We start from the raw sequence: 12765 nt of genomic DNA on the forward strand, positions 1-12765 counted from the left end.
GTTTACCAAAAGTTAAATGTTATCACATAAAACCATAAAAATGGCCTACAAATTAATATACTCCTTCTTTATCATTTATTTTTCAGATACAAATAAATCCCTAAAAAAGGCAAAATTCTTGCACCTATATAAGTTGTAGGTGTAGATTACAGCTGATATCAATTCAAGAGAAAGTATTTTAAAACTGCTTTTCAGTGACCAGACTAAGTGAGTTCCTATGGCACACGGTAACTGAAGAAAATGAACTTTAACAACTGTTACTTACTCTACATGAAGCACATGACTTTACAGTTATTTTTAAATTTTTCAACTTTTTGGTTTAAATAGTTTGGCCAACTCCCAAATATTCTAGGAAATATGACCTGACTTCATTAGAACCTTCATTTGACCTTTTAATTTGTAAGTTTTAGAAAGGTTATACATGTTTCTGAATTAGTTCATAGACAATAAAAATAAAGAATACTGACAGCCTAAAACTCAGTAAGATAAAAATATTGTTGAGGGTGAAAAAGACTAAAATATTATGAGACTCACACACTTATCAGCTAACAAGTTTAAGAGATGTTAAGTGTGTGTGGAGAGGTTGGGAATATATGGGAGCTCTGTGTGCTTTCCACTCAATTTTGCTGTGAACCTAAAACTGCTCTAAAAAATAAAGTCTATTAACTTTTTTAGAAGTATATGTTATGATCAAAACCTTGCATTTTAGACATTAAAGGAAAGCCCTGGCTTAGTAAGACACTTCTCTCAGTAAGAGTTTTAAATCAATGTATACATTATTTACTAAACAATATCAAAGAAAAATGAGTATTTATTAGGTATCCATTTTATTTGTAAAAGTTTATATATTTATATATTAAAAACAAAAATAACTAGAAAAAATGGTTTAACATTTTATGTTTCAAAATATATCTTAGCTTTTTAAAAATCTGTGTTTTTAAAATGACCAAATTTATCAAAATAGAAATCGAAAAAAATTTTTAAATTCAATGAAAGTCTATCAGTAGAATCCAAATATAGTGACAAAGCACTACTATTGTATACTATGGATGATTTCAGGGGCATCCAAGTCAGATGTCCCGACAGCTTCTTTCCCCACTGCCCAGAAGCTAGTTTCAGAGACAGTGATGCTTTAAGTCACCTTCTGAGCCTAACTGCATAAGTCATCTCTTTAAGAATTAACAATGTATTTCCATAAATCACATAGTCCAAGGTTTTTTCCTAGAAATCACCTATATTCTTATAAAAAAGTGATTCTCAAGTTTTTTCCCCATCCCACACACTTACTGAATGAGACCCTTAACAACAGTTGTCCACTGAAGCAATGATCGGGGACAGGGGCTGGAAGCTGGAGTGGTGCTAAAGCTGCATTTTCTCTCTCACCACCACCATGCCCTTGTAAACTACACTGACTAGAAGTCACTGTTTTTACAATATTCAGGGAGATCTCATATTACACTTTGGAAGATCACACTGTGATCAACCTAAAATTCAGGGAAGAGTCACTGAACAGAAAGTACTGGAATTTCAGTAAGTTCTACTTTACTACTACTATTCTTATTTAAGTAATTTCTACTTTACTACTACTATACTTATTTAAGTAAATTCTACTTTACTACTACTATACTTATTTAAGTAAGTTCTACTTTACTTAAACATCACTTGCAAAATCAATGTAACTTTCTTCCAGTTTGTTACAGACTGAAAAAGTCATTATTTAAGCTCTCCTAAAATATTTCATATCAACTATAATATGTTTACATTTTAAATGCTAACCAGTTAGATGTTTCTTTTCAAACACAAAGTTATTACCATCTTTATGTGAGGTATATAAAAATCATTCTCAGATTCAAGATCCTCTTTCCCCATAACAAAAGAAACAAACAAAATGGAATGAGCGGAATAATTAGCACGACACCTGAAAATTTTTCTGTGCCAAGGCAAGAAATAGAAATGCCCAGTTTTGCTCATTGCTTATCTAAAGTCCAACTCATTGCACATTAAGTTTTCAATCTGTAAAATTAATAAATAATAAATCCAAAATCACCTAACATTTTACTAATATTTAATTTCAAAAGTAAAGTTTAAATTCTAATTATCTCCAGTAAAAGCCTACAGTACCATGAATGAGTAGTCTTAATGAAGAAAAAAGTTTACTAACAGGATATGTATTTAAAAGTCACACATAAGGCTGGCTGTGGTGGCTCATGCCTGTAATCCCGGAACTTTGAGAGGCCAAGGCAGGAGGACTGCTTGAGGCCAGGAGTTTGAGACCAGTCTGGGCAATATGGTGAGACCCTGTCTCTATTTTTATTTTTCAAAATATAAACAAACACATAAATAATAGCTACACATACAAAAACCTAAATATAACAAACCTGCTGCTTTATAAACAAAAATAATGTATTTTAAATGTAAAAAAATTTATATCCAATAAATTAAAACAATAGAAAATTTTTAAGGTATCACTTACACAGATTATAAATTACTAATGAGTAAATGTGTACTCTAATGTGCTTTCCTAAAAATTATGAATATAAACAGACTCAACCAAGAATTTCTTAAGGATCCAAGTAAGCTATTTAGTTCAGAGAAGTAAAGAAACCAACAAAACAAAAAATAAAAACCTATTCTTAAGACTGCATATGATTCCATTATTACATATTACATGTAACTCAATAAAACAAACATCATTTAATATATACTTAAAAACCACAAGATATATATGAAAGGAAAGTCTTCAAATATCTTTCATGGTTAGAAAACCTAAGATGTTTTACCTTGTATTTTCCCTGATCACAGCCACATAAAGTACTCTCCATGGTATAACTTCTTTGTACTCCTATTTCCCTCCAAACTACAACACGTGCTGTGGATTCTTTAGATTTTTCCACTACGAAGCTACAGCTGCTCATGCAAAATGCTGGGGCGATATGGCTCAGTATCTTAGGCAATGTCTGTTAAAAACAAGAATGATGATGATAAAATAAACCAAGTTTTTAATTTTAAATGTTTTTAATTTTAAAAAGTTTTGATGAAAACACAGTAATTAGAGCAAAGCCATGTGGATGTTCTATTATATATCCCTTGCCATTCAAACAGCAAAACAATCCTCTTAACTAATTTTAAATTTTCTGCTTTTCTAAACAAATATAGTATCCAGTTACAAAACAATGGAAGAATCGTATTCACGGTATAACCAATAAGCAAAATAAAATCATTTGAGAAAACCATGTCTAAAAATATGAAAAAAATGTTTAAAATGTGAAATTTAGTCATAAAAGACTAATTGAGATATTTAACACAGTAAATGCCAATCATCCCTAAATTAATTAATACAGCTAAGACAATCACAATCAAAACTACCCCCAAAGTTTTCTGCAACTGAAATTATTATCAGTTTCACCCGAAAGCATAAATATAGAAGTATACCCTGAGAAATTGTGTGTGTGTGTGTGTGTGGGGCGAGGGGGGGGGTGTAAGGCTATGACTAGAGAAATAATCCAACATATCAAACTAGCTCATAAATCTAAAGTAAATTAAATTGTGATACTGATATAGGAACAGATGCATCTCTAGAAAGAAAGAGTTCAGAATTAGAACCAAATGTATTAAACTTATTATCATTATTATTAGTGGAGAAAAGATTGATCATTCATTAAATATTGGCACTACTAGATAGTCACTAAGAAAAACAATCTAAAGTCACTCTTCATTAAATTAAATTCTAGCTGGATTGAGAATATAAACTTAAAATTAATAAATATTTTTAAATGAAACTATAAATAGTAAACATGGAACTGTACTTTTAAAACTTCAGAATGGGTCGGGCTCACACCTGTAATCTCAGCACTTTGGGAGTCTGAGGCAGGTGGATCATGAGGTCAGGAGTTCGAGACCAGCCTGGCCAACATAGTGAAACACCGTCTTTACTAAAAAATACAAAAAATTAGCCAGGCTTGGTGGCAGGCCGCTGTAATCCCAGTTACTCAGGCGGCTAAGGAAGGAGAATCGCCTGAACCCAGGAGGCAGAGGTTGCGTGAGCCGAGATTGCACCATTGCACTCCAGCCTGGGCAACAAGGGTGAAACTCCATCTCAAAAAAAAAAAAAAAGAACTCTCTCTATATATTACAAATATATTTTCTAATTTTTTGTTTATGATGTGTAGTAATTTGAAATTTTATCATATTTGTTAATTTCTCATAAATTGTTTTTTGGAGTTTTGAGGCTTAGAAAGATTTTTTTTCATTCTAAAGTTTTTTTTTTGTTTGTTTTTGAGATGGAGTCTCGCACTGTTGCTCACCACAACCTCTGCGTCCCGGGTTCAAGCCATTATATGACCTGAACAAAAGTAAGCAGAAAATAGGAGAAAAGACTATTTTAAAAGACACAGATCATAATTGACCAAAACATAAGAAAACTCAACCTTATTTATAATTATAGGTATGCTAGTTAACAATCAGGTATTATTTTCACCTGGCAAAGATGATAGTACAATGTAATAAGGGTGTGGAAAAACAGTACTATCGTTCACGGTATTTGGTAGTATCAATTTGTACAATCTTTATGAAGGACAATTTGGCAATACTTATTAAATGACTATCAACAGAGACTACTAAGTAAATAAATTTGGGTACAGTCTACAAAAATAACAAAAATGCACAATGGAAATCTTATCTGACTAAAAGACTGAGACAGATTCAGACATGATGATCTGGAAAGATGATCAATAAATATTGTCATGGGAAAAAGTTGCTATGTAGTGTTTAAAAAACATTAAAAGACAAAAACTGCATATGCTACATGCATATCTATACGGATGTGCTCAGAGGCAAGTCTCACAATACACATGGTAAAACTGTCTAGTATTAAGAGAATGACTAGGAAAAGATAACTTTCACTTACCCCTTTATATAAATCTGGAGTGTTTCCCCATTTTTTATATAATTCTAACCATTTTATTTATTTGGGAAAGGGGAAGAAGAGAGAGGGCACCCAGAAAGAAGATGTGCTTTGAAGTTCTGCTAAGAGCTGCAGTAGGTTACCGAAAATGTCTTTTGGAAAATAACCTAGGGTGCTTGTTTAGGCATAACCATAGGAAGAGAGGCACTGTGACAAAATGGAAAGCACGCAGGACTTAAAGCAACACAGCTCATTTCAGTCCTAGGCACACCATATTTTGGCCAAGGCCTCAAGCATGTCAACTGACTCAGATGTCTTAGTGGACTTATTTGTACAGTAGCAATGATAATCCCTACCTACATCACAGAGCTTTGTGAGGCTCGCACAGAAAATTCATATGAAGGCTATAAGCGCAATACTAAAAGCTATAAGCACAATACAAATACGGTAACATAATTGTTAGATGTTGGTCTATAGTTATAATTAATTCATCCATCCATTCAACAAATATTTACTTAATGCCTACTAAGAATCAGGGATACTCAGTCAACCAAATAAACAAAAGTCCTCATTTACATTATTGTTAGTCATCTCATTCAGGAATGATGATCTACTATCCACAATATTTACCAATATTAAAACGTCCTTAAAAACCTAATAGTTTTGTGGAAGCTAAATTACATATTTCCATAGCATCATATGCTATGACGTTCACCTTATTGGAAGGATGCTATGATGTTCCCCTTATTGGAAGCAAATACATGATTTAACTTCAATAAAAAAATCCATTATGTTCCAAATTCCAAAATTTTTTGAATGTCAACATGATGCTCAAAGGAAATGCTCGTTGGAGCATTTTGGATTTCAGATTTTGGGATTAGGAATGCTCGAACCAGCAAATATAATACAAATATTCCAAGAAAGAAAAAAAATCTGATATCTAAAACACTTCTAGTCCCAAGCATTTTAGATAAGGGATACTTAACCTGTAATAATAAAGATTTGTTTTGTAAACCTTTTATTTTAAGCTAATTTTAAACTTAGAGAAAAGTTGCAAAAACAGTACAAAGAATTTTCATTTTTCTGTCACCCTTAACGTTAATATCTTAACCATAGTTCAGTATCAGAACAAAAAAATTAGAATTGATGCAATACTATTGATAGACCTTATTCAAATTTCATCAGTTTTTCTAATGCTGGGTTTCAGGATCCTATCCAGAATCTCACATTGCATTTAGTTATTGTTCCTCTTTAGCTTCCTGCAGTCTGTAACAGTTCCTCAGTCTTATAACTTAAATCATCTTGACACTTTTGAAGAGTATTGATTAGTTATTTTTTCAAATGACAATTTAGGCTGGGCGCGATGGCTCATACCCATAATTCCAGTACTTTGGGAGGCCGAGGCAGGCGGATCATTTGATGTCAGGATTTCGAGACCAGCCTGGCCAACATGGTGAAACCCCATCTCTACTAAAAATACAAAAAATATTAGCTAGGAGTGGTGGTGGGCACCTGTAATCCCAGCTACTTGGGAGGCTGAAGCAGGACAATCATTTGAACCAGGGAGACGGAGGCTGCAGTGAGCCGAGATCGTGCCACTACACTCCGGCCTGGGTGACAGAGTGAGACTCCATCTCAAAAAAAAAAGACACTCCATTTATATGTCATAATTTGTTGTATTTTCCCGCAAAAACATAAACACTTGCACTAAAAGGACAAAGCAGTACTATGATTTATCATCAGAAACATAGCATTTATGTGTATTAGTGCATCTTTTCCCAAGCCATCTGCAAAAAAAAAGGTTCCATGGTATGGTAGTCACCATCAAAAATGTCTTAATCACCAGAATCTAGGAATGTTACTTTACATGGCAAAAGGGGCTGTCCAGATTTGAGTCAATTAAGAATCTGAGATACTAAGATTATCCTGGATTATCTTAGTGGCCCTTACCATCACAAGGGCTCTCATAAGGGAAAGGGGAAGGCAGCGGAAGGAGAGAAGGAGATGTGACAATGGAAGCAGAGGTCAGATTTGATTCCTGGCTGAAAGGGACCATGATGCAAGGAACACAGACATGCTAGGGGTGTGGAGAACAAGGAAACAATTCTACCACACGGCCTCAAAAATTAATGTAGTTGATGACACTGATTTTAACCCAGTGAGCGCTACCTTCGACTTCTGATCTGCAGAACTGTAAGTCCATCAATTTGTTTTGCTATGTTTGTTGTAGTCTGCTATAACAGCAATAGGAACTAATATGATTATAAAATTATGGGAAATACTCCACTTTGACACACATGCACACACACCCACATGCGCACCTGCCCTACAACCCTGGAAATGTAAGAAGCTTACATTTCCTAAAGAAAAGAAACAAAGTTGACTGTGTCTAATGCAATTACCTGACGTAACTAATTACACAACTACTGGTGAGGGGAGGTGTGTGTGTAACACCTGTTAACATCTTGAGAAATGAAATTTGGGTGCTTTATTTACTCTAATTAAAGCATCATCTTACATTTCCTTTCACAACAAAATTCAAAAAATTAATCAAATAAAGAAATCTGAGACAAGATAATTTTAATGAAAAAAACTGAGACCAAAGAGAGTTCATTTTATCTCTTACAATGGAAAAACTGTTTTGCATTTACCTTCCCACATGTCTGTCTGCCATTCATCCATCAACCCACCTAACAACAAATATTTATTGAGTACTTATTATGAATAAAGTATTGTGCTATATAGTGGCAATGTTGTCAAAATGAGCAAATCAGACATCTTTGCTAGGCATGTGGAGCTTACTACCTATTATAAAGAGAAACCCATTAATCAAATAACATAGAAAACCTCACAATTATAATTCTTAAGTGCTATGAAGGAGAGAGAATCCTATAGATGTATGATCTGATTTCGTTTTGGGGACTAAGTGAGAATTCCCTGAGAAGTGAAGTATGATCCAAGCAGAAACGACTGGGTGAGGCAATGGTGGCAATGATGGTGCTGTTCCAGAGAGCAGCCTAGGGAAGGCTCTGTGCATATGCTCTTCATCTAGCTTTCTCCCATTCTCTGGGCCTCTCACTAGTCTCATTTTCTTATCTTTTTTTTATGTGGGTCTCAACTAAATATTCCCCTTTTCTATATCACTGAGCTCTACTAATCTACTTGGTTTCCTTTATTTAATGCAGTCTAACCTAATAAAACTCTATTTTCTGAAGGTCGTGTGGCAGAAATATTTGTTGACTGTTGACATGTTGGGCATTTTACACACATTCTTGGGCTCTCCCTCCACCTTTATCCTGGGCTTTGTCTCTCTCTTGAACTTAATTTCTGCATGCCTTCCTCTTTCATGTATTCCTTTATTTTGGCAAGAATGTTTTCCAGTAGCTTCCACAGAAAGGCTATTTGTGAGGTAAATTTTTGAGACTTTAAATGTCTGAGAACATCCTTTTTTATTCTCACACTTGCTGATAGTTAGAATGGGGTATGAAATTTACAGGTTGGAAATCTAGTTGAGAATTGTGAAGGCTTTGCTCCACAAAGTTTTGCTTCCAGTTTTGCTACTGTGAAATGTGATGCCATTCTTACATGTAATCCTTTGTAGAAGAATCTGAAAAATTTGTAGAAATTTTTTCTGAAAAAAAATCAATAGCTTTCCTATCTACCATCAATGATCAACTGGGGGCAGGAAGGTATGTGGGGAAAAATTCCATTCCCAACTGCAACAAACTTCATAAAGTATTTGTGAAGAAATCTAACAAACATTTCACACCTAGGTGAAGAAATTTTATACTTTACCAAATATAAAAGACTTGACTAAATAGACACATAGGCAATGGTCACAGATAGCAATGTTACATATTATTATAATAATTCTCTCCAACTTTAAATTCAAGGCAGCTCTAATGCAAACTCCAACAAAGTTTATCCACAAATGGATCCTAAAATTCACAAGTACAGAGAAAAAAAGAGTCAAAGCAATTTTTAAAAGAACAAGAAAGGAAAATTTGCCCTACATGATATCAATATTAATTATAAGCCTACAGTAATGAAAACAATGTTGTATGCAAAGAGATAGAAACAAGAATGGGTATAATAATAGCCTTGCAATACATCCATATATACAAAATAAGGTATGTAACAGATGGCATCATCAAATTGACAGAAGGAGGTACTATCGAGTTAATAGTGCAAGCCAACTGGTATTCACAGAGAAAACAGAATTAGATCCCCACATCTCACACAAAAATTAATTCCAAATAGATGAAAAATATAAACATGAAAAACTTTTAAAATGAAAAATCTGAAACAAAAATGGCAAAATGTCAATATTTATTGAATGTGAGTAGTTCATATATGTTCTTTTCTGTACTTTTATGCATGTTTGAAATTCAAAAACTTATGAATCATCTGTAATAATTACCCTGTATCCCGTATCCTCCACAACATCACATGAAGTTGCATTATCATTGGTATGCCACACTGTCTCTTTGATGCTGCAACCATACATAAATACATTCTTCTTTCGGGAATGGCCATGATAATCACAATAAACCTTGAAAATATATATTTTAAAAATTAAAAGACTTCAAGTTCATATGTTGCTAAGTAAAGGTAGTTAATATCAAGCCAATAAACATGTAGGTCTGTGTTCCTTGGTCTTTTTATTGTAAAAGAACCACCATTTAACAATTAGAACCAACAAAAGTAATAATAACTAATTTGGGAAAGGATCTATAATTAATTCTAGAATTGCCAAATCCTTTCAAGGTCCTATATCATCTTTGTATTTACTATTCACCATTTAAGAAATAACACATTCCATTATAGTTCAAATCTACAGTTGTGGTGATTGCTGCCCCAAATGGTTGTAAAAACATTTACCTAATTTGGCCTGGAGCGGTGGCTCATGCCTGTAATCCCAGCACTTTGGGAAGCCAAGGCGGGTGGATCACCAGAGGCCAGCATTTCGACGCCAGCCTGACCAACATGGTAAAACCCCGTCTCTACCAAAAATACAAAAATTAGCTGGGCGTGGCTGTGGGCACCTGTAATTCCAGCTACTTGGGAGGCTGAGGCAAGAGAATTGCTTGAACGTGGGAGGCAGAGGTTGCAGTGAGCCGAGGTTGCACTCCAGCCTGGGCAACAAGAGCAAAACTCCATCTCGAAAAAAAAAAAAAAATTAAAAACAAAGAATAACAACAAACAAGAAAATGCTCCTATAAAAAAACACCATTAAGAAGGGTATGGTTTTAATTTAAGTGCATCATTTTAAAAATAAATAAAAACAAAGGACATGTCAATTTTACTCCTCTGCAAAGTTTTTCTATCTTTCCTAAAGAAAGATTACATAATATACACATTAATATAACAGGAACATTCTAATCAAAAGCTGGTGAGAACAGAAGGAGCGTATGTATACAGTCCAGTCCAGTCATGCCTGTACTACATTTCCCCTGTGTGTAGTAGAGACTTAACAGCTTCAGAGCTGACTAGAGAACTCAGAAATAAGCTTCTAGTTTGAGAATTTGGAAGATACATATTGTTACCTTAGTATTGTTCAAACAGTGAAGTTAAATATCTAAAAGTTACAACCAAGAGTTATCAATATTCATAACGAAAAAGGAAAAAATAGAAGGCTTATGAGAATTACAAACATTCAACCTTATAAAATTAAGACAACTAACATAATGCATTAATTTGACCTCATGATTATCACACAAGTGCTTGATAATTAAAAATGATATTTTATCTTTGACTATCCCAAGTAAAAACAAGTATTGCTACTTACCAAGGGTAAACGCTTCACTGCAGCCAAGTATTGCAACAGCCCCTTAGCATGGTAAATTGTAGGATGTAAATCCGGACTTGGACTTTGCCACTGCCTATTCAAATCCTCTCCACTTAAAGAACAGCGATGACTACATGTACATAAACACAAAGACAGAAAAACACTGGTACCCATAAACCCTTATATACATTTCTTAAACCCTTATATACATATCTGATTTAACTTTATGCTTCTATTCCACTAAGCATTTCAAATAGGTATAGATGGTAAGCTCAACCAAATGCATACTATATTCATTAAGTAAACATTTATTGAGTATTTGCTATGTGCAAGATTTTGTGTCACATGCATTTAACTGTGGTAAGTTTTCAGATTCATAATCAAAATTTTCAAAGTATAGAAAAAATTCTTAACTCCAAGGTTTTCTTCCATATTTTATAAAAATGTATTAATAATCACATTTTCCATTCTGATTACATAATAATCATTTGTTATGTTAGCATGCTATATCTTGACTTCATCAATTAAAGTGCTATCTAGGTGCTTCTTCTGAGAAAGACAAGTATATGAAAAGTATACACTGTTGTAAAACATCAAATACCTTTTTGTTTATTTACGGGTACTAAGTAGTAAAGCTATCATGCAAATAAGCAGATAATCATAAAGTGATGATAAATATAAATAGAATTCTAACTGGTCAATATATTTCTCAATTAAAAATAGACAACATTTTAGTTCCATAACCATAACATATTAACTAAGAAGAAATTCTATATTTTAAAAATTCAGTAATTTCCTAAAATACGAGAAATATTCATGCTACTTTCACTGAAGTAAGACATGTTATCCTCATCTTTGGAGATACTCATGACAACTATACTAAATCCCATCTTTCAGAGTGGCACTACAGAGACCTTGTCAAATTACCAGGATAAATTTACTGTACTAACTATATGCAGCCTCCTTTTACAAAGTAATTATCTTCCACTATTCCCCCTCTAAAGAACTCCTGTCAAAAACCAGACCTCCTCATATCAAGAAGAGGTTAGCAGATGGGGCTAACATTCCAAGAGATCCCAGAAGAGTCTTAATCTTAGAACAATCTAGGTTCATGCCACTAATAAAAAAAAAATAAAGGAATATGAGAGGTATGAGTTAACCTTTCTTACAACCTGACATTGTGATTTTTCTAAAACAATTCAAGCATTTTATGAAAGCATATTCCCATGGATACAGAATAGGGCACTAGGCCCTATAAAATAAACAAATATAAAATCAATAATTTCATATCGCTAATAGTATCCAAAATGTATTTTCATTTAAAAGTTTATCTTAATTTCCCACCAAAAATTTCTTTATTCTAGAAAAATCACTAAGTTTGTTAACCTGGACATTGTTATTTCAACAAGTTTATACAGGACAACCACAATGGTCTTGAATATATTCTACAACTATTGCTTAACTTACTTTCCATTGATGACACCATCTGGATTTAACATAGGGACAATTTTAAAAATATAAGATTCTCGTAAGCTCTGAGCAGTGGGGTTATTGCTCATGAGATATTCCAACGTTCCTTTCATAACCCAACTTGCATTAGTTTCTCCAGGATGTACCCGAGCAGACAAGAAAACGTAAGGGCGATTTCCTAAAGTACACATAAAATCTCAAATTAAAATGAACAGCTACTAAAAGTTTGTATATTTTACTTTGGGGCTTTAGAAATGTCTCTAACTCAATTGTGAATTCTAATATAAATTAATAGAACCCAATGGTGCATCCTACAAGCACTGCACTAGGCCCTATAAAATAAACAAATATAAAATCAATAAAACCATATCCCGAAGGAGCTCATAATAGGACATAAAACAGTAAGTAGTATTTGATCCACTTATTCATTTCCCAATGACTAATTTAACATGTAAAATTCGTTATTTAATATAATGTTAATTTTATAAAGAACAAGCACTTGGGGGAAGTTTAAAATATAAAACTATTTTTTCATAAAATCATAGGGAAAAGAAATAAAATATAATTTTAGCCCTGTCTTACAGTTGCTCTGATAAGCATAGAG

General features: G+C 33.4%; 1 protein-coding gene across 24 annotated transcripts in view; it reads right to left on the minus strand.

Moving 5' to 3' along the window:
* The window catches only part of AGTPBP1 (ATP/GTP binding carboxypeptidase 1), a 258945-nt gene that overhangs the window by 29601 nt on the left and 216579 nt on the right, over window positions 1-12765 (minus strand). For 23 of the 24 annotated variants that reach the window (XM_047423094.1, XM_047423090.1, XM_047423089.1 and 20 more), the window contains 4 exons: window positions 12159-12339; window positions 10692-10821; window positions 9324-9455; window positions 2781-2957 (listed from right to left, as the gene is read on the minus strand). In XM_047423094.1, coding sequence (XP_047279050.1) covers window positions 2781-2957; window positions 9324-9455; window positions 10692-10821; window positions 12159-12339 — 620 coding nt within the window. Of the gene's footprint in view, window positions 1-2780; window positions 2958-9323; window positions 9456-10691; window positions 10822-12158; window positions 12340-12765 lie in introns of those variants that run through there. The other variant, XM_047423101.1, reaches the window with a different exon arrangement.

This window comes from Homo sapiens, chromosome 9, assembly GCF_000001405.40.
Source record: "Homo sapiens chromosome 9, GRCh38.p14 Primary Assembly".
NCBI lineage: Eukaryota > Metazoa > Chordata > Mammalia > Primates > Hominidae > Homo > Homo sapiens.